Source organism: Homo sapiens, chromosome 17, assembly GCF_000001405.40.
Source record: "Homo sapiens chromosome 17, GRCh38.p14 Primary Assembly".
Taxonomy (NCBI): Eukaryota; Metazoa; Chordata; class Mammalia; order Primates; family Hominidae; genus Homo; species Homo sapiens.
In genome coordinates, this window is record NC_000017.11 from 29,406,617 (window position 1) to 29,434,196 (window position 27,580).

General features: G+C 43.5%; 1 protein-coding gene and 2 pseudogenes across 2 annotated transcripts in view, besides 1 other annotated feature; 1 reads left to right on the forward strand and 2 right to left on the reverse strand.

Moving 5' to 3' along the window:
* TAOK1 (TAO kinase 1) overlaps positions 1–27,580 on the forward strand; it is a 161,541-nt gene that overhangs the window by 16,254 nt on the left and 117,707 nt on the right. The gene's annotated exons all lie outside the window — the stretch shown is intronic.
* Positions 1,637–2,136: an enhancer, noted in NCBI's record as "H3K27ac hESC enhancer chr17:27735271-27735770 (GRCh37/hg19 assembly coordinates)". NCBI's record gives its function as "activates a minimal SCP1, AML or CMV promoter by ChIP-STARR-seq in naive H9 embryonic stem cells {active_cell/tissue: H9 hESC(naive)}" and the evidence as "EXISTENCE:reporter gene assay evidence [ECO:0000049][PMID:30033119]".
* On the reverse strand, positions 10,964–11,136 carry LOC124903968 (translation machinery-associated protein 7-like; annotated as a pseudogene).
* RNU6-711P (RNA, U6 small nuclear 711, pseudogene) lies at positions 18,146–18,251 on the reverse strand (annotated as a pseudogene).

A 27,580-nucleotide genomic window follows, 5' to 3' on the forward strand; every position in this document is an offset into this window, starting at 1 on the left:
GACCTCCCTGGCCCAAGCAGTCCTCCCACCTCAGGTTCCCAAGCAGCTGAGACCACAGGAGTGCACTACCCACCCCCCCAACTAAGCAGCTGGGAGACTACTGGCATACACCACCATGGCCAGCTAATTTTTGTAGTGACAGGGTTTCTCCATGTTGCCTAGGCTGGTCTTGAACTCCCGGGCTAAAGTGATCCTCACACCTCGGCCTCCCAAAGTACTGGCATTACAGGTGTGAGCTACCATGCTTAGCCATTTTTCTTTTTTTAAAACTGTTTGAGGTATAATTAATGCAGCAAAGTGCATAAATATGAAGTGTAAGCCTGTTGAATTTTTACAGATGTGTATGTTCATGTAACCATCACAAAGAACAAGATAGAGAACATTCCTAGTACCTCTTACAGTTCTTTCTTTTTTTAGATACAGGGTCTTGCTCTTTTGCCCAGGCAGGAGGGTAGTGGTGCCATCATAGCTCACTTCAGTCTTGAACTCCTGGGCTCAAGTGATCTTCCCATCTTAGCCTCCTGAGGAACTAGGACTGACTATAGGCACATACAGGAATGGGGACTTGCTGTGTTGTGTAGGCTGGTCTTGAACTCCTGGCCTTAAGCCACTCTCCTGCTTTGGCCTCCCAAAGTGCTGGGATTACAGGCATGAGACACCATGTCTGACTGTCTTCCTTCTTAAAATTTGTATTTTACTGGTTGTTCTTTCTTACTGCTTTTAACAGTAGGTGTCTCTCAACACAATGCTCTTCTCTGTCTCCCTCTCTTCCTGCTGCCTCCCTAACTCCATCCTTTATACCCAATTGCCTGACGGAGATAATCTTTTTTTATTTTTATATTTTTTTGAGACAGAGTCTCACTCTGTCACCCAGGCTGGAGTGCAGGGGCACAATCATGGCTCACTGCAACCTTGACCTCCCCAAGTTCAGGTGATCCTCCCCCCTCAGCCTCCCTAGTACCTGGGACTACAGGTGCCCACCATTACACCTGGCTAATTTTTTTATTTTTTGTAGAGATGGGGTTTCGTCATGTTCCCCAGGCTGGTCTCGAACTCCTGGGCTCAAGCAGTCCGCCTGCCTTGGCCTCCCAAAGTGCTGGGATTACAGGCATGAGCCACAATGCCCAACTGAGGTATCTTACTCTTTTTGAAGACACGTTGGGGTGAACATATCTAAATTGAACTCATCTTCTTAATCTTTTGCAAAAGTTTCTCCTTATTTACCTACCTATTTCAATGTTAATAACATGTTTTGTTTAGTTTTGTTTCTGAGGCAGAGTCTGGCTCTGTCACCCAGGCTGCTGGAGTGCAGTGGCATGCGCTGCAGCCTCGAACTCTTGGGCTTAAGTGATCCTCTTGCCTCAGCCTCCCAAATAGCTGGAACTGCAGGAGCATGCTGCCATTCATTCCTGACCAATGTTTTGATTTTTTGTAGAGATTTTCTAGATTCTGTGCCAGGATACAGAAATGAGTCAGACTTGATCCTTCCCTAGCCTTGCCATATTGCCTAGGCTGGTCTCAAACTCCTGAGCTCAAGTGATACTCCTGCCTCAGCCTCCCAAAGTGGTGGTATTACAGGTGTGTGCCACTGCACCTGGCCATAAGGTTTTTTTTTTTTTTTTTTGAGACACAGGATCTTGCTGTGTCCCCCAGGGCTGGAGTGCAGTGGCGCAATCTCAGCACACCCCAACGTCTGCCTCCGGGGCTCAAGCTATCCTCTCACCTCAGCCTCCCAAGTAGATGGGACTACAGGAGTGTGCCACCACACCTGGCTAATTTTTTAGAGATGGGGTTTCGCCGTGTTGCCCAGGCAGGTCTCAAACTCCTGACCTCGAGTGATCCGCTTGCTTTGGCCTCCCAAACTGTTGAGATTACAGGCATGAGCCACTGCGCCTGGCCCATAACGTTTTTTCAATCAATTTTACCAAGCTTTAATTTATTTGCAATAATTTCACAAATTTTTAATGTACAGATCAGTGGCTGTAACAATCACTTTAATAATAGAGTAATTTTTACTTCCCCCCAAAATTTCCTAGGCCCCTTTGCAGTCTCTTTTCAGTCTTATTCCTGTGCAGCCGCTGATGTGATTTCTTTCTTTTTTTTTTATTTTTTTGGAGATGGAGTCTCACTGTGTCACCTAGGCTGGAATGCAGTGGCACAGTCTTCGCTCACTGCAACCTCCACCTCCTGGGTTCAAGCAATTCTCCTGCCTCAGCCTCCCAAGTAGCTGGGATTACAGGTGCATGCCACCACGCCTGGCTAATTTTTTGTATTTTAGTAGAGACGGGGTTTCACTGTATTGCCCAGGCTGGTCTCGAACTCCTGAACTCAGGCAGTCCACCCGCCTCAGCCTCCCAAGATGCTGGGATTACAGGCATGAGCCATCACACCAGGCCTCTGATGTGATTTCTATTGCTGTATATGAGATTAGTCTTTTCTAGAGTTTCATAGAAATGGAATTATACAGTATGAAATTTTGTGTTTTGCTTCTTTCTCTTGGCATAATAGCTGTGATATTTATCTATGTTGCGTGTTTCATTAGTTCATTTCTTTTTATTGCTTAGTAATAGTCCAGTGTTTGGATATATCACTGTTTATGTTCACCTGTTGATTGATAATTGAATTATTTCCAGTTTTTGGCTATTATGAATAAGATTGCTAGCAATATTTGTATATAAGCCTTTTTATGGACATATATATATATATATATATATATATTTTTTTTTTTTTTTTTTTGAGATGGAGTCTCACTCTGTTGCCCAGGCTGGAGTGCAGTGGTGAAATCTCGGCTCACTGCAAGCTCCGCCTCCCAGGTTCATGCCATTCTCCTGCCTCAGCCTCTCGAGTAGCTGGGACTACAGGCGTCCGCACCATATCTGGCTAATTTTTTGTATTTTTAGTAGAGATGGGGTTTCACCATGTTAGTCAGGATGGTCTCGATTTCCTGACCTTGTGATCCCCCCGCCTCAGCCTCCCAAAGTGCTGGGATTACAGGCGTGAGCCACCGCACCCAGCCTATGGACGTGTATTTTTATTTCTACTAACCCTAAGTCTTCTAAATTAGAAACTTTGGGATTATTTTTGATTTGTTTAATCTCTTTTCTCACCTATATTCACACAATAGGTTATGAAGTCGTGGGATTTCTTCTTTTGAAATGTGTTTCATTCTTTGTTCTCTTTTCCAAGTATCTGTAACATTCTTGTGAGAGGGTGTATGTGTGTGTGTAGCCTTATTTTAGGAGTAGGGGATGTAAGGATGATTGTGCAGATGATATATTTGCTCAGTGAGGTTTAAAGTCAGGTGGGGATGCTGACATTGAATTTATAGGATGGGGAAAAGGGCTATTGCTGTTGGAAGCACTCTATCTGTAAAAGTATCATTTTAGTCCCTGTTTTGTTCTAGTCTTATTATTGTTGCTATTTTTAGTTTGTTTTTGTTCTGTTATGTATTCACGGATATGTATGTGGTGTAAAGTGGTGAAAAAGTTTATCGTCATGGATGTTCTCATTGCTGTGTGAGCGGGCAAAGCACTTAATCTCTGGGCCTCAGTTCATTGTCTGTAAAATGGGAATAATAATACTTTCCACATAGTGTTAAAAGGATTAGATGCATTGTTACATGTATAGCTCTTAGTTTTGTTTTTGTTTTTTGAGACGGAGTTTCGCTCTTGTTGCCTAAGCTGGAGCACAATGGCATGATCTTGGCTCACCACAACCTCTGCCTCCCAGGTTCAAGCGATTCTCCTTCCTCACACTCCCGAGTAGCTGGGATTACAGGCATGCACCACCACGCCTGGCTAATTTTTTTGTATTTTTAGCAGAAACGGGGTTTCACTATGTTAGCCAGGCTGGTCTTGAACCCCTGACCTCAGGTGATCCGCCCGCCTCGGCCTCCCAAAGTGCTGGGATAACAGGCGCGAGCCACCACAACTGGCCTATATGTATAGATCTTAGAATAGTACCTGGCATATTGTGTTACATATGTGTTAGCTAGGGTTTTTTGTTTTTTTTTTTTTTGGTTTTTTTTTTTGTTTGAGATGGAGTCTTGCTCTGTCGCCCAGGCTGGAGTGCAGTGGCGTGATCTCGGCTCACTGCTGCAACCTCTGCCTCCTGGGTTCAAGCGATTCTCCTGCCTCAGCTTCCCAAGTAGCTAGAATTACAGGCGCCCACCACCACGCCTGGCTAACGTATTTTTTTTAGTAGAGACGGGGTTTCACCATGTTGGCCAGACTGGTCTTGAACTCCTGACCTCAGGTGATCCACCCGCCTTGGCCTCCCCAAGTGCTGTGATTACAGGTGTGAGCCACTGCACTCGGCCAGCTAGTACTATTATCTTAATTCTACTTTACTTAAAAGGCTGTCTTTTTCTCTCCCATTTCAGTTCCCCTTACATATTGGTATAAGACTTATCTCCTTATGTAATATCTGATTTTTTACTTCTACAAACCTACAGAAGTACTTTCTTTTTACTGTTTTTTTTTTTTTTTTTTTTTGAGACGGAGTCTCGCTCTGTCGCCCAGGCTGGAGTGCAGTGGCGGGATCTCGGCTCACTGCAAGCTCCGCCTTCCGGGTTCACGCCATTCTCCTGCCTCAGCCTCCCAAGTAGCTGGGACTACAGGCGCCCGCCACTACGCCCGGCTAATTTTTTGTATTTTTAGTAGAGACGGGGTTTCACCGTTTTAGCCGGGATGGTCTCGATCTCCTGACTTCGTGATCCGCCCGCCTCGGCCTCCCAAAGTGCTGGGATTACAGGCGTGAGCCACCGCGCCCGGCCTTCTTTTTACTGTTTTTTTGAGACAGAATCTCACTCTGTTGTCCAGGCTGGAGTGCAATGGTAGGATCTCAGCTTACTGCAACCTCTGCCTCCCACGTTCAAGCAATTCTCCTGCCTCAGCCTCCCAAGTAGCTGGAACTACAGGCACACACCGCCATGCCTGGCTAATTTTTTTTTTTTGTGGTAGCGATGGTGTTTCACCGTGTTGGTCAAGCTGGTCTCAAACTCCTGACCTCAAGTAATCCACCTGCCTCTGCCACCCAAAGTGCTGGGATTACAGGCGAGAGCCACTGTGCCTGGCCTACAGAAGTACTTTCTATATCATAATCTGGCAACCATTTGTGTGTATTTTTTTCAGTTGTGATGTACAAACAATAAAGTGCTTAAGTGAATTTTTTTTTTAACCAATGTATCTACTAAGATTAAGTTATGGAAAGTTTCCAGCATTCTTGAAGGCTCCCTCGTGTCCCTTCTCCCTTAATAACCAATCCTCCATATCTGTTCTGACTCTTTACCATAAATAATTTTTGCATGTAATTGTTTTTATTGTTTTTTAAGATTATCTTTGATTGACCCCTCCATATCTATGCAGCTTGCTTTTCCTTCCTTCCTTCCTTCTTTCCTTCCTTCCTTCCTCTCTCTCTCTCTTTCTCTCTCTCTTTCTTTTTTTGAAACAGGATCTCACTCTGTCACCCAGGCTGGAGTGCTGTTGTGCAATCTCAGCTCACTGCAACCTCCATCTCCCAGGTTCAAGCGATTCTCCTGCCTCGGCCTCCCGAGTAGCTGGGACTACAGGCATGCGCCACCATGCCTGGCTAATTTTTGTATTTTTAGTAAAGACGGGGTTTCACCATGTTGACCAGGTTGGTCTCGAACTCCTGACCTCAAGTGATCCGCCTGCCTTGGCCTGCCAAAGTGGTGGGATTACAGGTGTGAGCCCCCATGCCCAGCCGATACAGCCTATTTCTGATTACTGCCCAGCACACTTTGCCTATGTTTATGATGTCTCTTTTAGTGCCCTTTTGGTCTCATCTCTTCTTTTTCTCTGTCCATTCAAGTCCTCTTCCATGAAGTTGTCCCCAACTGCTTCAGCTTATACTGTCCTTGTTCTTCTCTAAGTTCTTTTTGGCTCATTTATCAGTGTCCCAGTTTAGTACTTAATGAGATATTTTCCTTTTTTTGTAAGTACTTAATTGTCTTAGCTTTTACTAGGACTATGGTTATTTTGTGTCCCTCCCATTTAATGCCTAGCATAGGACATACAGTACTAATTGTTGAATAGAATCTAATTGAATTTTTAAAGTTTAAGTTCTTTAAGTGTTGGATAGCAGCTAGCAGTTATAATAGAGAATTTGGCAGTGAACTAGGGCAACTATTTATACAACGAAAGTAAAAAGCACAGCATAGCTTCATGAACCCATATAAATGTTGATGCTATTCCACTGTATTAGACCGTAGTAGAATCAGAAATGCTGAACCCATGGGAATTGCTTGTGTGAGTCTTGCACGGGAATTGCACAGTAGGTCTTTGAACTTTCTGAGGTTGTGTACAAATTTGGTATGAATATGCACATGTGCATTTTTCTAGGGTAAGAATTCATATCTTAATTGGGTCTTCAAAAGTATCTGTGGCTAAAAACATTAAGATCCTGTGGTCTAGCAAAAAATGTCATTTTACGGATGAGACAACTGAGACTCAGAATTAAGACACAAGAGGAATGGCTTACTCATAGTCATTGTTATACATAGTGGTGATCCTGAGTCAACAGGAAATATTAATTAGGTTCAATGTGGTCTGCCTTATAAAAAGGGAAATAAGACTCCATGGAAGTGTCTAAATACAGTTAGGAAATATTTCCATCCCAAATAGCTAAACTTAAAAGAATTGAGGTGAAATGCACATAACATAAAATTAATCATTTTAGGCCGGGTATGGTGGCTCATGCCTGTAAGCCCAGCACTTTGGGAGGCTGAGACCGGTGGATTGTTTGAGCTCAGGAGTTCAGACCAGCTTGGGCAACATGACAAAATCCTGTCTCTACAAAAAGTACAAAAATTAGCTGGGCATGGTGGCATGTGTCTGTAGTCCCAGCTGCTTGGGAAGCAGAGGTGGGAGGATCACTTGAGTCCAGGAGGCGGAGGTTGTAGTGAGTGGAGATCACGCCACTGCACTCCAGCCTGGGTGACAGAGTGAGACCCTGTCTCAAAAAACAAAAACAACAACAAAAATAACCATTTTAAAGTAAACAGTTCAGTGGCATTTAGTACATTCACAGTGTTGTATAGCTACTGTATGTATGTTCCAAAGCATTTTCCTTAACCCTCAAGCAAACCCTGCACCCATTTATTATAGCAGTTGCTCGCTATTTTCCTCTCTTCCGTCTCTGATAATCACCAGTCTTTGTTCTGTGTCTATGGATTTGGATTTGCCTATTCTGGATACTTCATAAAAAAGGAATCGTACAATATTTGACCTTTTGTTTCTGGCTTCTTTTTTTTTTTTTTTTTTTTTGAGATGGAGTTGCTCTATCGCCCAGGCTGGAGTGCAGTGGCATGATCTTGGCTCACTGCAAACTCTGCCTCCGGGGTTCACGCCATTCTCCTGCCTCAGCCTCCCTAGTAGCTGGGACTATAGGCGCCTGCCACAAAGCCCAGCTAATTTTTTTGTATTTTTAGTAGAGACGGGGTTTCACTGTGTTAGCCAGGATGGTCTGAATCTCCTGACCTCGTGATCCGCCTGCCTCAGCCTCCCAAAGTGCTGGGATTACAGGCGTGAGCCACCACGCCCAGCCTGTTTCTAGCTTCTTTTACTTAGCATAGTGTTTTTGGAGCTTCATCCATGGTGGAGCATGTATCAGTACTTCACATTATTATTTGATACGGAGTCTTGCTCGGTCGCCTAGGCTGGAGTGCAAGTGGCATGATCCCAGCTCACTGCAACCTCCACCTCCTGGGTTCAAATGATTCTCCTGCCTCAGCCTCCTGAGTAGCTGGGATTACAGGCACACGCCACTGTGCCTGGCTAATTTTTGTATTTTTAGTAGAAATGGGGTTTCACCATGTTGGCCGGGCTGGTCTTGAACTCCTGACCTCAAGTGATCCACCCGCCTTGGCCTCCCAAAGTGCTGGGATTACAGGCGTGAACCACTGTGTCCAGCCCAATACTTTATTTATTTATTTATTTGAGATGGAGTCTCACTCTGTCACCGAGGCTGGAGTGTGGTGGCACAATCTCGGCTCATTGCAACCTCCGCCTCCCGGGTTCAAGCGATTCTCCTGCCTCAGCCTCCTAAGTAGTTGGGACTACAAGCACGCACCACCATGCCCAGCTATTATTTTTGTATTTTTAATAGAGACGGGGTTTCACCATGACGGCCAAGCTAGTTTTGAACTTCTGACCTCAAGTGATCCGCCCGCCTTGGCCTCCCAAAGTGCTAGGATTACAGGCGTGAGCCACCGCACCCTGCCTACTTTATTTTTGTTTATGGCTGAATAATATTCCATTATATTTATGTACCAGAGTTTGTTTTCCCATTGATTTGTCGATGGACATGTGAGCCATTTTATACCTTTTTTTTGCTCGGGGGTGGAGGAACGGAATTTCGCTCTGTTGCCCAGGTTGGAGTGCAGTGGCGCAATCTTGACCTAGGCTCACTGCAACCTCCGCCTCCCAGGTTCAAGCGATTCTCCTGCCTCAGCCTCCCAAATAGCTGGGATTACAGGTGCGTGCTACCACACCAAGATAATTTTGATATTTTTAGTAGAGACGGGGTTTCGTCATGTTCCCTGGGCTGGTCTGAACTCCTGAGCTCAAGCGATCCACCTGCCTCAGGCTCCAGAGTGCTGGGATTACAGGCGGTGAGCCACCGCGCCCAGCTGTTTTATACTTTTTGGCTACTATGAATGGTGCTAATGTGAACATATTTGTACATTAATATGTACTGTTTTCAGTTCTTTTGGATGTATACCTAGAAGTGAAATTGTTGGGTCACATGATAATTATGTGTTTAACTTTTTAAGGAAACGGCCACCTATTTTCCATAGTTGCTGAACCATTTTACATTACCACCAAAAATATATGAAGGTTCCAGTTTCTCCACATCCTCTCCAACAATTATTTCCCGTTAAAAAAATTTTATAGCCATCCTTGAGTGTGAAATGGTACTTCTTTGTAGTTTTGATTTGCATTTCCCTGGTGACTAATGATGTTGAGCATCTTTTCGTGCACTCAGCCATTTGTTTATCTTCTATGGAAAAATATAAAATAAACTTCTAATTCTCAAAGAGGTCTGCTTCAGTTAGCAAGAAAAGTCTTTGAAGATGTAAAGTATTTGGTGTTTCTGTATAATTAAGTGCCAAACTGGTACAAATATAAAATACTGTGGTAATTAAAAAGAGAAGATATGGTGAAACTGGTTTAAATTTTGAAAGCAAGTGTTTAAGAACCCGTCTACCATTATGTACAGTTATAAACTGTAATGCAGATAAATTGATTGGAGGTTTTTCTTGCTTCAAATATTCGCATATTGCCCTTTGACTTGGCATTGAAAGATGTCTATTCAATTTTCTGCATTAAAAAAGAACAGTTTTGCTGGGGCGTGGTGCCTCATGCCTGTAATCCTAGCACTTGGGGAGGCTGAGGCAGGCGGATCACCTGAGGTCAGGAGTTCGAGACCAGCCTGGCCAACATGACGAAACCCCATCTCTACTAAAAATAGAAAAAATTAGCCGGGCATGGTGGCGGGCACCTGTAATCCAAGCTACTGGGGAGGCTGAAGCAGGAGAATCGCTGGAACCCAGGAGACAGAGGTTGCAGTGAGCTGAGATTGCACCACTGCACTCCAGTCTGAGTGACACAGTGAGACTCCGTTTCAAAAAATAAAAAAGATTATGTATAGGGATTTTATTGCAACATTATTTATTTTTATTTTTATTGGATAGATTTAGAAGTCTGATACTTTTTTTGCTCTTCTTCATTTCAACGCATAGAGAGAAATAGTCACCTGGAAGATTCACAGTACCCATTAGATTTAATGGGAAAAAAAGCTAGTCTTAAGACTTCTCAAAGAGAAGTCTTAGAGAAATTAATTGGATCATCGGAAAAGGGGCAGTTATACATTGGAAATGTATACAACAAATTAAATATTACATTATTTAATTAAATATTACATTAATTAAATAATACAACAAATTAAATAGAACACATTGAGTGGCTTCTTTCCTTATTGCAAGCCGAAACTATGTATTTGCCATCTTTTAGGCTTGTTTAATTTTAAAACTTTGCTGAGTAAAATATTTTTAAGTAAAACTTGAGATTTTAGTTTTCCTCCTTGGAATTGTATTCAGTGTCATGTTTGATACTACCGTAGAGAGGCAAAATTTGAACTCATTAATTTTCTAAAAGGGGTAATCATCTTCAGGGCAGGGTTATCTTTTATTCTTTTATATCTTTTAGTTTATTTAGTCAATATTTGTTAAATGCAATTACAATCAAGTTTTTATCATATTTTCCCATCCCGCTTCATTATTTCTCAACCCAGCATCAAGGACAGTGCCAGGGATATGGTAAAGGTCTGGTAAATATTGAATGAATTATCCTTATTTTAGTTTACCAGTTTTTTTTTTTTGTTGTTGTTGTTTTGAGATGGAGTCTCACTCTGTCGTCCAGGCGGGAGTGCAGTGGCACTTTCTCGGCTCACTGCAACCTCCATCTCCTGGGTTCAAGCAATTCTGCCTGCCTCAGCCTCCTGAGTAGCTGGGATTACAGGCGTCTGCTACCATGCCTGGCTAATTTATGTATTTTTTATTAGTAAGGGGTTTTGCCATGTTGGCCAGCCTGGTCTTAAACTGCTGATCTCAGGTGATCCACCTGCCTCAGCCTCCCTAAGTGCTGGGATTACAGGCGTGAGCCACCGCGCCCAGCCCCTTCCCTCCATTTTTAAGTTGGGTTGTTTGTTTTCTTATTGTTTAGTTTTTAATTCCTTATGTATTCAGGATAAGCCCTTATTAGATGTAGGTTTTGCAGATACGTTTTTTTCGTTCATGGCTTTTTGTTTCTTTCCACAAAAGTTTATTCTTAAATGTACAACAGGCTCCATTACAACACTTCAGTCCAGCTATAGTTGGCAAAAGATGTTATAGTAGGGAATGAAATCAAGGGTCACCATTGCCTCAGGCCCATGGAACAGCTTACTTTTTGCCAGATTTCTTAATTCCACCTGTGGCCAGGGGCCCCTTCCCTATAGTTTCTTCTGGTCCTCTTTTTGTGTCTACTTGAAAGCCTTGCCTTCCTTGTATATCTCCTTGGCCTGCTTTCTGGGCTGTTTCAGGGGTTTCTTCTTGCCATCTTTGTGGCTGGACATGGCACCTGCCGCCCTTTCCCCAGACCCTGCCACTGGAAACCCAGTTACGGCTTTTAAAATTTTTTCTTAATGGTATCTTTCACAGAGCAGAAGTTTTTAATTTTGATAAACTCTAGTTCTTTGATTCTCTCTCTTCTCTCTCTTTCTTTTTCTTTCACAGCGTCTTACTCTGTCACCAAGGCTGCAGTAGAGTGGCGTGATCATAGCTCACTGCAGCCTCGACTTCCCAGGCTCCAGTGATCCTTCTACTTCAGCATCCCAAGTAGCTGGGATCACAGGCGCACACCACCACACCCAGCTAATTTTTGTATTTTTAGTAGAGACGGGGTTTCGCCATGTTGCCCAGGCTGGTCTGAACTCCTGAGCTGAAGCAATCCATCTGCCTCAGGCTCCCAAAGTGCTGGGATTACAGGCATGAGCCACTGTGCCCAGCTTCTTCGTTTTGTTTCGAGACAGGATCTTGCTCTGTTGCCGAAGCTAAAGTGCAGTGGTGTGATTATAGCTCACTGAAACCTCAGACTCCTGGGCTCAAGTGATCCTCACATCTCAGACTCCTTAGTAGCTAGGACTGCAGGCACATGCCACCGTGCCTGGCTAATTTTTAAACTTTTTTTATTTTTTATTTTTATTTTTTGTAGAAATAGGGTCTTGCATGTTACCCAAGCTGGTCTCCAACTCCTGACCTCAAGTGATCCTCCCACCTTGGCCTCTCAAAGTGCTGGGATTACAGGTGTGAGCCACTGCACCCAGCCTATCATAGCTTTATATAGTCATTCCTTGGTATCTGTGTGGGATTGGTTCCAGGACCCCTGTGGATACAATCCATGAATGCCTAAGTCACTTATATAAGATGATGTAGTATTTGCATATAACCTACATACATCTTCCTGTATACTTTAAATCTTCTGTAGATTACTTATAATACTAAATGCATTCCCTACACATCACTTCATTCTTCTGGATTCACTGTACTACTTGGTGCATGGCAAATTCAAGTTTTGCTTTTTGGAACTTTGTGGAATTGTTTTTTTCTGAATATTTTTAATCCGAGGTTGACTGAATCCAGGAACGTGGAACTAAGGATACAGGGGGCTGACTATAGTAAGTTTTAGCATCAATTAGAGTTCTTCACGTTTATTCTTTTATTCAAGTTGTTTTGGCTATTCTGGGTGCTTTGCTTTTTTTTTTTTTTTTTATGTATGTTTTAGAATCAGTTTGTCAGTTTCTTCAAAAAAGGCTGCTGGTTTTTTGGGATTTTGTTGAATCTTTGGATCATTAGTGGGACCATTGATATCCTGACAATACTGAGTCTCCCAGTCTATGAATTTAGTACATTTCTTCATTTATTCGGGTCTTTTTCTTACTTTTCTCATCAGTGTTTTGTAATTTTCAGCATACAAATCGTGCACACATTTGTTAGATTTATCTCTAAGTATTCTGTAAATTTTTTTTTTTCTTTTTGAGATGGAGTTTCACGCTTATTGACCAGGCTGGAGTGCAATGGCATGCTCTCGGCTCACCGCAACCTCCGCCTCCTGGGTTCAAGCGATTCTCCTGCCTCAGCCTCCCCAGTAGCTGGGATTACAGGCATGTGCCACCACACCCGACTAATTTTGTATTTTTAATAGAGACGGGGTTTCTCCTTGTTGGTCAGGCTGGTCTCGAACTCCCGACATCAATTGATCCACCCGCCTCGGCCTCCCAAAGTGCTGGGAATGTGAGCCACTGCGCCCGGCAGTATTTTTTTTTTTTTTTTGAGATGTAATCTCTCTCTCTGTTGTCTAGGCTGGAGTGCAGTGGTGTGATCAAGGCTCACTGCTGCATTCATCTCCCAGGCTCAAGCGATTCTCCACCTCAACCTCCTAAATAGCTGGGACCACAGGCACACACCACCACGCCTGGCTAATTTGTTTTGATTTTTAGTAGAGATGAGGTCTTGCTGTGTTACCCAGGATGGTTTTGAACTCCTGAGCTCAAGCGATCCTCCCACTTCAGCCTCCCAAAGTGCTGGAAGTATAGGCATGTGCCACTGAGCTCAGCCATGATTTTTAATTTTATTGAAAATGTTATCTCCCCCCTCCACCAAATTTCAGTTTCATTATGAGTATGTAAACATAAAATTGTTTTTTTGTTTGTTTGTTTTTTGAGACAGGGTCTCACTCTGTTGCCCAAGCTCGAGTGCAGTGACAGAATCTTGGTTCACTGCAGCCTCAACCTCCCGGGCTCAATTGATCCTCCCACCTCAGTCTCCCAAGTAGCTGGGACTACAAGTGTTGCTGCAACACCTGGCTAATTTTTTTTTTTTTTCTTGAGATAGGGTCTCACTTTGTCACCCAGGCTGGGGTACAGTGGTGTGACCTCAGCTTACTGCAACCTCTGCCTCCTGGGCTCAAGCAGTCCTCCCTCCTCAGCCTCCCAAGTAGCTGGGACTACAGGTGCATGCCACGACGCCTGGCTTAATTTTTTATTTTTTTAGAGATGGTTTCTGCATGTTGCCCAGGCTGGCCACAGACTCAAGCAATTCACCCGCCTCGGCCTCCCAAAGTGCTGGGATTACAAGAATGAGCCACAGTGCCGACCATAATTGATTTTTTTGATATTGACTTTGTATTCTGCAACCTTGATAAATTCACTTATTTCTGGTAGCTATTTTGTGGACTGGGATTTTCTGTGTACACAATTACGTTTATTAGTACAGTTTTATTTCTTCCTTGCCAGTCTGAATGCCTTTTTTTTTCTTCTTGCCTTGTTGCACTGGCTAGCTCCTAAAGTACAGTGTGAGGGTGGATATCCTTGTCTTATTCCCTATCTTATGAGGAAAATACTTAATCTGTTTTTTTTTTTTTTTTTGAGACGAAGTTTCGCTCTTGTTGCCCAGGCTAGAGTGCAATGGCACGATCTCGGGTCACTGCAACCTCCGCCTCCCGGGTTCAAGTGACTCTGCTGCTTCAGCCTCCCGAGTAGCTGGGATTACAGGCATGCGCCAGCATGCCTGGCTAATTTTGTATTTTTAGTAGAGACAGGGTTTCTCCATGTTGGCCAGGCTGGTCCTGAACTCCTGACCTCATGATCCGCCTGCCTGTAATCCCAAAGTGCTAGGATTACAGGTGTGAGCCACCGCGCCCAGCCGGAAAATACTTAATCTTTTATCATTGCATGTGATATTAGCTATAGGGATTTTTTGTTTTTCTTTTTGAGGCAGTGTCTCGCTCTGTCATCTAGGCTGGAGTGCAGTGGCTCAGTCTCAGCTCATTGCAACCTCTGCCTCCCAGGTTCAAGTGATTCTTCTGCCTCAGTTTCCCAAGTAGCTGAGATTACAGGCACCCATCACCACGCCCAGCTAATTAGTGTATTTTTTGTAGAGACAGGTTTTCCCCATGTTGGCCCAGATGGTCTCAGTCTCCTCGACCTTGTGATCCGCCCGCCTTGGCCTCCCGGAGTGCTGGGATTACAGGCGTGAGCCACCGCATCCAGCCGGTTATACATTTTTAGACTAATAAAGTGAATTATATGGATTGATTTTTACTCCTGAGAGGAATCCCACTTGATGATGTTATATTCTTTTTATAAACTGCCAGCATCTATTTGTAAATGTTTTGTTGCAATTTTTACATTATATCTGTTTGAGATACTGGTTTATAGTTTTCTTGTTGATATCTGGTTTTGGTATCATGGTAATGTTGACCTCATAAGTTGATAAATGTTTATATGCTGGAAGAGTTTATGTAGAACTGGTATTATTTTTTCTTAGATATTTGATAGAATTTCCCTGTGAAACCATCTGGGCCTAGAGTTTTCTCTAGGCAAGGCTTTTAATTATGAATTATATTACTTTAGTGGAAACAGTAAGTTAGGTTATCTTTTTTTGTTTGTCTCGCTGTGTTCACCCAGGCTGGAGTGTAGTGGTGCCATCACAGCCCACAGAAGCCTTGACCTCCTGGGTTCAAGTGATCCTCTTGCATCAGCCTCCCAAGTAGCTGGAACCACATGCACATGCCACCACACCCAGCCAGTTAAAAAATTTTTGGGGGGTAGAGATTGGGTTTTGGCATGTTGCCCAGGCTGGTCTCAAACTCCTGGGCTCAAGTGATCCTCGCCACTCGGCTTCCTATAGTGCTAGGATTACAGGTGTGAGCCACTGTGCTATCCTCTATTTATCCTTTTTTTTTGAGTCTTGCTGTGTCACCCAGGCTGGAGTGCAGTGGCACGATCTCGGCTCACTGCAAGCTCCATCTCCCGGGTTCACGCCATTCTCCTGCCTCAGCCTCCCGAGTAGCTGGGACTACAGGCGCCTGCTACCACGCCCAGCTAATTTTTTGTATTTTTAGTAGAGACAGGGTTTCACTGTGTTAGCCAGGATGGTCTCAATCTCCTGACCTCGTGATCCACCCGCCTCGGCCTCCCAAAGTGCTGGGATTACAGGCATGAGCCACCACGCCCGGCCTATCCTTTTTTTTAATTTATTTTTTGAGATGGAGTCTCGCTCTGTCGCCCAGGCTGGAGTGCAGTGGCGCAGTCTCGGCTCGCTGCCATCCCCAACTCCTGGGTTTAAGCGATTCTCCTGCCTCAGCCTCCTGAGTAGCTGGAACTACAGGCACGAGCCACCACACCCAGCTAATTTTTTTTTTTTTTTGTATTTTTAGTAGAGACTGCGTTTCATCATGTTGGCCAGGCTGGTCTCAAACTCCTGACCATCCTCAGGTGATCCGCCCGCCTCAGCCTCCCAAAGTGCTGGCATTACAGGCGTGAGCCACTGCTCCCGGCCCCTCTATTTTTGAATGAACTTCGATAGTTTATGTTTTTTCAGAGACTCTCCATTTCATGGGAGTTATCAGATTAACTGGTAAAATTACTTATAATAATCCCATATTTTTATTTTAATGTTGATAGCGTCTGTAGTGGTATCACCTCTTTAATTCCTGATACTGGTAATTTGTTTCTTCTTTCTCTTTGGCATTAGTTTGTCTACAGAGTTACCTAGCTAGCTTTGAGGATGGGCGTGCTACTGCACGCCTATAATCCCAGCACTTTGGGAAGCAGAGGTGGGTGAATCACGAGGTCAGGAGTTCGAGACCAGCTTGACCAACATAGTGAAACCCCCGTCTCTACTAAACATGCAAAAATTAACCGGGCGTGGTGGCAGGTGCCTGTAATCCTAGCTACTCAGGAGGCTGAGGCATGAGAATCACTTCAATCTGGGAGGCAAAGGTTGCAGTGAGTTGAGATCGCCTCATTGCACTCTAGCCTGGGTGACAGAGCAAGACACCGTTTCAACGACAACAACAAAAATCTAGCTGTTGGTGTCATTGACTTTTCTTTATTGGTTTCTTTTTTTTCCCCCATTTTTTTTTTTTTTACTTTGGCTCATTATTTCCTTTTGCTGTGTTGTATTTAATTTGCTCTTCCTTTTTTTTTTTTTTAAGTTTCTTAATCTGGATGCTTATATTTTGGTACTAAATCTTTCTTCTTTTCTTTTTTTTTTTTTGAGACAGAGTCTCCCTCTGTCTCCCAGGCTGGAGTGCAGTGGCGCGATCTTGGCTCACTGCAAGCTCCACCTCCTGGGTTCACGCCATTCTGCTCAGCCTCCTGAGTAGCTGGGACTACAGGTGCCCGCCACCACGCCCGGCTAATTTTTTTCTATTTTTTAGTAGAGACGGGGTTTCACCGTGTTAGCCAGGATGGTCTCGATCTCCTGACCTCATGATCCACCTGCCTCGGCCTCCCAAAGTGCTGGGATTACAGGCGTGAGCCACTGCGCCCAGCCTCTTCTAATATAAGGATTTAATGTTATAAGATTTTCCTGTGTCCCTGTATTTCAATTCAGAATATTTTCCAATTTCACTTTTATATTTCTCTATGACAAACCATGTGTATTTAGAAGTGTGTTGTTTAATTTTTAAATATTTAGGAATTTTCTTGATATTTTTCTGATTTTTGATTTCTGATTTAATTCTGTGTGGTCGGAAAACATACTGTCTGAATTTAATTCTTTATTTATTAAAACTTGTTTCAGGCTGGGGCGTGGTGGCTCACACCTGTAATCCCAGCACTTTGGGGGGCAGAAGCAGGCGGATTGTTTGAGGTCAGGAGTTCGAGACCAGCCTGCCCAACATGGCGAAACCCCGTCTCCACTAAAAATACAAAAAATTAGCCAGGCGTGGTAGTGGACGCCTGTAATCCCAGCTACTCTGGAGGCTGAGGCAGAAGAATTGCTTGAACCCGGGAGGCGGAGGTTGCAGTGAGCCAAGATTGTGCCACTGCACTCCAGCCTGGGCGACAGAGTGAGACCCTGTCTCAAAAAAAAAAAAAAAAAAGCAAACTTGTTTCATGGCCCAGTATATGGTGTATTTTGGTTGTTCTGTACATACTTGAGAAGAATGTGTATTCTTGATTTGTTGTGTATAGTGTTCTATAAATGAGAATTAGGTCAAGTTAGCACTTTGGGAGGCCGAGACGGGCAGATCACAAGGGCAGGAGATCGAGACCATCCTGGCTAACACGGTGAAACCTCGTCTTTACTAAAAATACAAAAAAATTAGCCAGGCATGGTGGCGGGTGCCTGTAGTCCCAGCTACTTGGGAGGCTGAGGCAGGAGAATAGCGTGAACCTGGGAGGCGGAGCTTGGAGTGACCCAAGATCCCGCCACTGCACTCCAGCCTTGGCAACAGAGCGAGACTCCCTCTCAAAAAAAAAAAAAAAAAAAAAAGACAAATAGAGACACGGTAACATTTGCTAAGGAAAGAAGACAAATACTGGGCAGAGAAATAGGAAGACTCATCCACTTCTCCTTGGTTGCTAAAGTATAGAAGTTGGGTGACCTACATATCTTTCTTTGGAAGTTGTGCTTATCAGAAAAAAGGAGGTCAATAGTAGGAGATGCCTATTTTTGTGTCATGTATTAGATTACTTGTCAGAAGTTTTCTTTGTTGACTGCTGACCTTTAGTTTCTCTTTTTGCTGTTTAGAAAATAGTTTGAAGTTTTGTACAACTTAACATAAGTTTAAAATTTTTTTTAATGGAATGTTTCATGAATTTGTATGTCATCCTTGCTCAGCAGCCAGGCTAATCTCTGTATTGTTCCAGGTTTTTAGTATATGTGCTGCTGAAGTGAGCACATGTAAGTTTCTTTTGGAATATTTTAACAATTTTGGGGGGATTGTCATTTTTCATTATAGATTATATACAAAATGTATTACTCTACCTGTGCTAAAGATTAATGTGCTATTGAGATATACTACTTTGTCTCCATTATAACAACCAGATAGTTAGAAGTAAAATTATTTAAAAGTTAGACCATTAAATTTATTAGTAAATACTTATTGGTTTTGGTTTTTTGAGGTAGAATCTCACTCTGTCTCCCAGGCTGGAGTGCAGTGGCACGATCCCGGCTCACTGTAACCACCACCTCCCAGGTTCAAGGGATTCTCCTGCCTCAGCTTTCCCAGTAGCTGGGATTACAGACACACACCACCATGCCCGGCTAATTTTTTTCTTATTTTTAGTAGAGATGGGGTTTTAACATGTTGGCCAGGCTGGTCTCAAACTCCTGACTTCAAATGATTCTCCTGCCTTGGCCTCCCAAAGTGCTGGGATTGCAGGTGGGAGCCACTGTGTCCGGCCCATTTTTGTTCACTTTAAAACTTATACCAGGCTTGGTGGCTCCTGCCTGTAATCCCAGCATTTTGGGAGGCCGAGCCGGGTGGACAGCTTGAGTTCACGAGTTTGAGACCAGCCTGGGCAGCATGGCGATACCCCATCTGTACAAAAAATATAAAAATTAGCTGAGTAAGGTGGTGTGTGCCTGTAGTCCCAGCTACTCGGGAGGCTGAGGTAGGAGGATGGCTTGAGCCTGGGAGAGCTGAGATTACACCACTGCATTCCAGCCTGGGTGGTAGAGCCAGATCTTGTCAAAAATGAAAAACAAACAAACAAACAAAAAAACCAAACTTTTTACTTTAGTAAGGGAGATATTGAAAGATGATAAATTATGTTTGAAAATATCATTCTTGTAATCTAAGATCAAGTGAAATTAGATTCTGTTAAAATTGATAGGTAATTTAAATATTGTAAAATTTCTCTTATTTTAATGCATTTTACATAAGAATGAATCAGGTTTTTTTTGTTTGTTTTGTTTTGTTTTGTTTTTGAGACGGAGTCTCGCTCTGTCGCCCAGGCTGGAGTGCAGTGGCGCGATCTCGGCTCACTGCAAGCTCCGCCTTCTGGGTTCACGCCATTCTCCTGCCTCAGCCTCCCGAGTAGCTGGAACTACATGCGCCCACCACCACGCCCAGCTAATTTTTTGTATTTTTAGTAGAGACGGGGTTTCACTGTGTTAGCCAGGATGGTCTCGATCTCCTGACCTCGTGATCCACCTGCCTCAGCCTCCCAAAGTGCTGGGATTACAGGCGTGAGCCACCGCACCCGGCCAAGAATGAATCAGTTTGATTCATGGTTACATTGATTTGGCACCTACTATGTTTAGGTGCTATGTAGTAGGTGAAAACGTAATGGTGAAAAAATGTGACCTGTGTCTGCAGAGAGCGTATTGTTCCAGGGTAGGAAATCAATGGAGAAAATAAATAATTATAAGCTAGTATGATAAGTGCAATATCAGAGATATTTTTATATTACAGAAACACAGAAGAGGGTTCTGAATCCAAATTAGAGATTAGGGAAGACAGTAAGTATAGTAGTCTGGGAGGACATCTAGGAGATAGTTGCTGAGCCAAAGGTAGAAAAAAAGACATTCTGAGATGCAGTAAAAGGCTAGAGGAAAGAGAATATGGGAAGTATGTGTGGCTCTAAGCCAGGGGCATCTGTCAAAGGGGCGAGTGAGGACTGAAATTCGGTCTGTGCTCTGCTATCCATTATCCATGTCTTGTGCTTATGGAGTTGCATATCCTTAAAAGGAGTCCCTTTTTCAAATTTCTTCAAAGGTTCAGTAGCTTAAGAGGCCCTCATTTGTGGGACCAGCTGTTGGTACATTGTATGATTTGTTATGGATTTTGAATTTGATTTTCTATGCCTGTTATTCTCTAACTTAGATCTGAGCAACTTCAGGGTGTTTTGGAGTGGCATCCTGGTGAGATTAAGGAAACGCCTAAATAACTTCTTATATTTTCCTTGAATATTTTATAGTAGAGCAAAATAGATTATATGCTAGAGCTAAGCTGTCCAATATGGTGACCCCTAGCTACCATAAATTTAAGTTAAACTTAATAAAAATTAAATAAAATTCAGTTTCTTAGTTGCACCAACTACATTTCAAGTGGAATTGGATGAGAATTGATATACTAGGGAACAATGAAATAGATTCGGAAGGGTGGGTAGGATTTGTAGGCAGACATGGGGGTTTTGTGGATAGCATTCCAAGTGGAGAGAATAACATTAATGAATGTAATGCCATTGGTGGAAAATAAGTTTAGAAATGTAGTTTGGACCAAAATGGGGAGAACCCTGAAAACTTAACCTGGAGAAGATTATATAATATTGAGAACTTGTAGGTTAAAGTTTTTGAGCAGGAAGATTGAGTAATTCTTTAGAAGTGCTTTAGAGATCTTGGCTAGGTGCGGTGGCTCACGCCTGTAATCCTAGCACTTTGGGAGGCTAAGGCGGGTGGATCACTTGAGGTCAGGAGTTTCAGACCAGTCTGGCCAACATGGTGAAACCCTGTCTTTACCAAAAAATACAACAATTAGCCAGGTGTGGTGGTGCACGCCTGTAGTCCCAGCTACTTGGGAGGCTGACACAGGGGGATCGCTTTGAACTCCGTCTCAAAAAAAAAAAAAAAAAGAAAGAAATGCTTTAGAGATCTTATTTGAGTTAGGAGTGATGTATCTGTTAGGGTTTTTGGAAGCAGAGAAGTGATACCAACTATCTTAAGAATTTTCTTGGCCAGGCGTAGTGGCTCACGCCTGTAATCCCAGCACTTTGGGAAGCCAAGGTGGGCAGATCACTTGAGGTCAAAAGTTCCATACCAGCCTGGCCAACATGGTGAAACCTTGTCTCCACTAAAAATACAAAAATTAGCTGGGCGTGGTGGTGGACGCCTGTAATCACAGCTGCTCAGGAGGTTGAGGCACGAGAATTGTTTGAATCCGGGGGCGGAGGTTGCAGTGAGCCGAGATTGCGCCACTGCACTCCAGCCTGGGCAACAGCGTGAGACTCTGTCTCAAAAAAAAAAAAAAAAAAGAAGAATAATTTTATTATAAGACTATTAAGTTGCTCGCAGACTGAAAAGGAAGGCTGAAGAGAGTCTAGGATAGCTCCTGGGGTCTTGATACAAGGAATGAATAGACAGTTTCATCAGGATGCCACCCAAATGAATAAGTGCCAACCGTTTTTTTCCAGACTTGTATCATTTGTTCAAGATTCAGAATTTCCAAAAACCAAGTACATGTTTCCTAGAGGGGAATACCTAGGCAGAGGAGAGGTAATATCTCAAAAGGAAATCTAAGACCATTACTAAAACATCCTCATAGATGTTGGGAGGCTGAGCAAGAAGCTGTTCTTTACAGGTGTACAGAATGGACTAAAGAGAATAAGACTAGAGATTGGAATGCTTGAGAGGTGTTTTGCTGTAGAACAGACAAGAGGTAACAGAGACCTAAACAAAAAGTAGTGGCAGTGGGATTGGCAGTGAGGGTTTTGATGTGAAAAATGCCATAGAGGTAGAATCTGTAAAATTTAGTAACAAATACTTCTTTTTAAATACACAGATGACTGTAGAGTGCCTAGATAGCCTAGAGAAAGTTGATGATGAGGTATGGAAATCTGGCTCTGTTACTTAGTAGCTATATGATAGTGAGCAAATTACTTACATTCTTTGAACTTCAAGTATAATTTGAGGTGGTAATTATTTTAAAACAGTTGTGAGAGTTATATATATATTTTTATTTTTTGAGACAAGATCTGGCTGTTACTCAGGCTGGAGTGCAGTGGGTTAACTGCAGCCTCTACCTCCTGAGCTTGGGGGATCCTCCCACCTCAGCCTCCCAAGTCGCTGGGACTGCAGTTGCGCACCACAACACCTGACTAAATTTTTTTTTTTTTTTCTGTAGAGACAGGGTTCCACCATGTTGCCCAGGCTTGTCTCGAACTCCTAGGCTCAAGTGATCCTCTCCTCTGCCCTCGACCTCCCAGAGTGCTGGGATTACAGGTGTGAGCCACTGCGCCCACCCCAGTTATGAGAATTAAATAAGCAAAATGCCTGGAATATAGCGAGAAGTCAATGAGTGTTAATTCCCTTCCCTATTAAACAGAAAAATAGAGAATTTTTGATTATTTTTTTGTTTGAGGGTGCTGCAGGCAGGTGCTATAGTTTGTTATCTCTGTATACTTGGTTTTAGAACTTAATGCCTTTCTAGGTGGGTATTCTTATGGAAGCAGATGGGAAGTATTCTGGATTAGAAATCAGTTTCAGCTTTAGAATTTTAAAATAAGCCTTTTGTTTTTACTTAATAATTTCAGATGTACAGAAAAAGTGCAAAGAAGATAGTACAGAGTTCTTGTATACCTTTCATCTACTTTCCTCTGATTTTTTTTTTCTTTTCTTTGTTTTTTTGGAGAGTCTCACTCTGTCCCCCACACTGGGGGACACTACACCCTCCATCTCCTGGGTTCAGGTGATTCTTGTGTCTCAGCCTCCCAAGTAGCTGGATTACAGGTGCACGCCACCAGGACCGGCTAATTTTTGTATTTTTTAGTAGAGACAGTGTTTCACCATGTTGGCCAGACTGGTCTCAAATGCTTGACCTCAAGTGATCCGGCTACCTCAGCCTCCCAAAATGCTGGGACTACAGGTGTGAGCCACCATGCCCGGCCTTTCCTCTAATGTTAACATTTTAAATAACCATGGTACATTTGTCAATGCTAACAAGTTAACATTGTTACAATATTATTAACTAAACTACCAATTTTGTCCAGATTTTCCACTAACATCCTTTTCCTGTTTCAGGATCTAATTTAGGATACCACCTTGTATTTAGTACCTTTAGGTTTTTTAGTTATAGTTTTGTTATTAACTGTGACTTTAAGCACACCACCCAACCCTTCAGGCACTTGTGCATCTAAGATACCTTTTATCTCTGAAGTTTTGAGTTTGTTTAATATCTGTCATACAGTGTGCCCTATTTTTATTTTGAAATAAATAAGACTATAAGATCTAATCAATACAACTGATCTTGTTGACAGTAAAATTTAATTTTTATCTTGTAATTTTACTTTAGTATTAAAGGAAAACTATAATAATGTTGAATTTTGGGAAAAATCACAAGAGCTTTTTCTTCCATTTGAATCAAAAAGATAAAAAGAGAGGGCTTGTATTTTTGTCACCAGTAGAGGGTCATGACTCCAGGTTCTTGGCGTTTTGGACAAAGAATTGGTTAAAATGTCCAGCAAAGCAAAGAAAGAATGAAGTAACAAAAGAACGAAAGCAGGGATTTATTGAAAATGAAAGTACACTCCACAGTGTGGGAGCAGACCTGAGGAGCGGCTCAAGGAGCCCAGGTGTAGAATCTTCTTGGGTTCAAATACCCCCTAGAAGTTTCCCATTGGCCACTTCATGCTCACCTCATGTAACTGAAGGGTAGCCTGCAATCAGTCTGATTGGTTGGGGAAAGCAGCCCACCAGAGGCTGATGTGAAGTTACAAAGGTCACACTCCTGTGCAAACATCCGATTGGTTGCAAAAACTTTGTAACTTCGCATCTGCAAAAAGCAACCAATCAGAGGCTAGGGTGAAGTTACAAAGTTGCAAACGAAGACTCCACCAGCAATCAGTCTGATTTGCTGGGGACAGCCAATATCCCATCTGCAGTGCTCAGGAAAGGTCAAAGGGAGTCGCCTCTGGTCCTTTTGTTACTTAGGCATGGAAAGTTAGGGTTTTCCTTTCAATTTAGTTCTAGGAAATTGGCATGAAACAGCCTTAGGTTCCCTGCCTCCAGACCCTATTCTCCTGCCTCATCTTCCTCTGAGAGACATGATCCCCATAAATCTTTATGGGAGGCAGAAGGACTGAAGGTCTTTCTTCTGTAACTGCTTCATGCTGATTTGGGGCTTAGTCCCTACCTGTTGGAGATCACGGAACTCTCACCCTGTTCTGTCTAGTGGAAGGAGGGTAGCTTTTTGATGGCCAGGGGTAGTATCTTCACCTGGAACTGGCTGGAACTTTGCTGCATGATCATCTGAAGTTTGGTGGTCTCTAGGCGAGGGGAAATGAAATTGATTAAAAGACTTAATGGGAATTTTGGGAGTGGATACCTATGCTGTTATAGAAATTTGCTGGAGAAAAAACAAAACCTGCTCTGTTCTAGAATCTGTGTGTTTCCTTAAAGTCTTAGCACAAGTGATTCCATTTTGGTTTGGTTTGTTGGGGCCCAGTGCATGAGCTTAGTCCAAAACAATGACCTCCCAGAATTTTGTTTAAAAAAACTCCCCCTTTTTGGTCAGGTTCTCACTTAGGTGAGAGTGCTTGCGCTCTGGAGTTTGAGGCCAGCCTGGGCAACATAACAAGACTTTGTCTCTACTAAAAAGAAAACATATTAGTTGAGCATGGTGGTGTGTGCCTGTAGTCTCAGCTGCTTGGGAGGCTAAGGTGGGAGGATCACTTGAGCTCAGGAAATCAAGGCTGCAGTGAGCTGTGCTTGTGTTACTGCACTCCAACCCGGGCAACGGAGCGAGACCCTGTCTCTAAATAAATAAATTAAAAAAAAACCTTAGGTTTTTGGATTACTAAATTGGATACATTAGTGTGACACACTTTAATTTTATAGGCAACTCAGAAAGAAGATTGGCTTGAATGACTAGATTATTTTGAGTTAGAAATTTCTTTGAGATATTGAAGTGGAGACATACGGTTTTATAAGTAAATAAATGTAAATAAGTATAAGTTAAATTTTTTTTTTTGAGACAGAGTTTTGCTCTTGTCACCCAGGCTGGAGTGCAATGGCGCGATCTCAGCTCACTGCAACCTCCGCCTCCTTGGTTCAAGCAATTCTGCCTCAGCCTCCCAAGTAGCTGGGATTACAGGTGCCCACCACCATGCCTGGCTAATTTTTTTTTTTTTTTTTTTTTGAGATGGAGTCTCACTCTGTTGCCCAGGCTGGATTGCAGTGGTGCGATCTCGGCTCACTGCAACCTCTGACTCCCGGGTTCAAGCGATTCTCCTACCTCAGCCTCCTGAGTAACTAGGACTACAGGCGTGAGCCACCACACCCTGCTAATTTTTGTACTTTTTAGTAGAGATGGGTGCCGAGACCAGCTCCGTGTGCGGAGACCAGCTCGGTTGTGGAGATCCTAACCCAGCGTTGCTAGAGGAATTAAAGACACACACACAGAAATATAAAGTGTGGAGTGGGAAATCAGGGGGCTGACAGCCTTCAGAGCTGAGAGCCTCAAACAGAGTTTTACCCACATATTTATTGACAGCAAGCCAGTGATAAGCATTGTTTCTATAGATTATAGATTAACTAAAATGGGAAACAAAGGGATGGGCCAAAACAAAGGTATGGGCCCTGGCTAGTTATCTGCAGCAGGAGCATGTCCTTAAGGCACAGATCACTCATGGTATTGTTTGTGGCTTAGGACCGCCTTAAGCAGTTTTCCATCCTGGGTGGGCCAGGTGTTCCTTGCCCTCATTTCGGTAAACCCACAACCTTCGGCGTGGGCATCATGGCCATCACAAACATGTCGCAGTGCTGCAGAGATTTTGTTTATGGCCAGTTTTGGGGCCAGTTTATGGCCAGATTTGGAGGCCTGTTCCCAACAGATGGGGTTTCACCATATTGGACAGGCTGGTCTCAAACTCCTGACCTCGTGATCCACCCATCTCGGCCTCCCAAAGTGCTGGGATTACAGGCGTGAGCCACTGTGCCCGGCCTGCCTGGCTAATTTTTGTATTTTTTAGTAGAGATGGGGTTTCACCATGTTGACCAGGCTGGTCTTGAACTCCTAACCTCAGGTGATCCACCCACCTTGGCCTCCCAAAGTGCTGGGATTACAGGCGTGAGCCACCACACCTGTCCAAATTTTTTTTTTTTTTAGAGAGAGACAGAGTTGTGCTCTGTCTCTCAGATCATAGCTTACTGCAACCTTAAACTCCTGTGCTCAAGGGATCCTTCTGCCTTAGCCTCCTGAGTAGTTAGGACTGCAGGTGTTTGCCACCACACCTGGCTAATTTTTAAAGTTTTTGTAGAGACAGTGTCTTGCAATGTTGCCTAGGCCAGTCTTGAATTCCTGGGCTCAAGCAGTCCTCCTGCCTCGGCCTTCGTAAGTGTTGGGATTATAGGCATGAGCCACTGAGTCTCCAGGGCCTTACCATAGTTATCTTTTTGAATTACTAGTAATGCAAGAGAATGTAAGTAGAGTTTGAGTCTCAGTTATAGGGCTAATAAAAGAATGTAGCCAGGTGCAGTGGCTCACGCTTGTGAGCCAGCACTTTGGGAGGCCAAGCCGGGTGGATTACGAGGTCAGGAGTTCAAGACCAGCCTGGCCAACATGGTGAAACCCTGTCTCTACTAAAAATACAAAAATTAGCTGGACGTGGTGGCGGGCATCTGTAATCCCAGCTACTCAGGAGGCTGAGGCACGAGAATTGCTTGAACCCGGGAGTGGATGTTGCAGTGAGCCGAGATCACTGCATTCCATCCTGGGTGACAGAGCTAGACTCTGTCTCAAAAAAAAAAAAAAAAGAATGTAAAAAGATTCTTCACTCTAGAAACTAAGGCAGCTCTGTTAGCATTGCAGGACTTTTCCTTAGTTCAGCTAAAGAACTTGTCCGTCCCATGGCTATGAAAATTCAGGCTTGCAGACAGTTTAAAGGGTGAGTAAAGCAGAGGGTTTTATTGGGTGAAAAGGGAAAAAAAGGGGAAATAGGGATACTCCACAAGGCCAGAGTCTCCTGCTAGAGCACTTCCCGCCCTGCCATTCAAATCTCAGGTTCCACACAGGAAGTGGAGGGGCCAGACTCCTCCCCACTGCAAATGGCATGAACCTCCTGAGGCTCAGCTCCAGTGGGCAGGCTTGTTGTAGTTTCTCTGGGGACCCTCTCCCACCTGGCTATCTCATTTCCCCTCTAATCTAGCAATTGTTAGATTAAGGACACGGACGAAGACCGATCTTAACTGCTTCCTGCTGACAGGGGCCTGTTTTGGGGGAAACAGCAGTCAGAGCTCCCTAAGAGGCCTATTTAGGGGTTCCCAGCAGAAGGGGCCACCATCAGAGGCTCCGGTTGCATGACCATTTGGAGTTTGATGGCCTGAAGGCAAGAACAGACAAACCGGGTTATTAGAAAACATGCATCAAAACGAAACAAGGGGCGGGGTAAGGAGAGCTGAAAAATACTGAGGCCTTTTACCAATTTTCACAGGGAGAGGGAGGCCAAAAACCCGACTGGTAAAGAAACTTTACCCTTTTGCTGGCATGTTGGGCTTTTGGGTTCCCTTCCT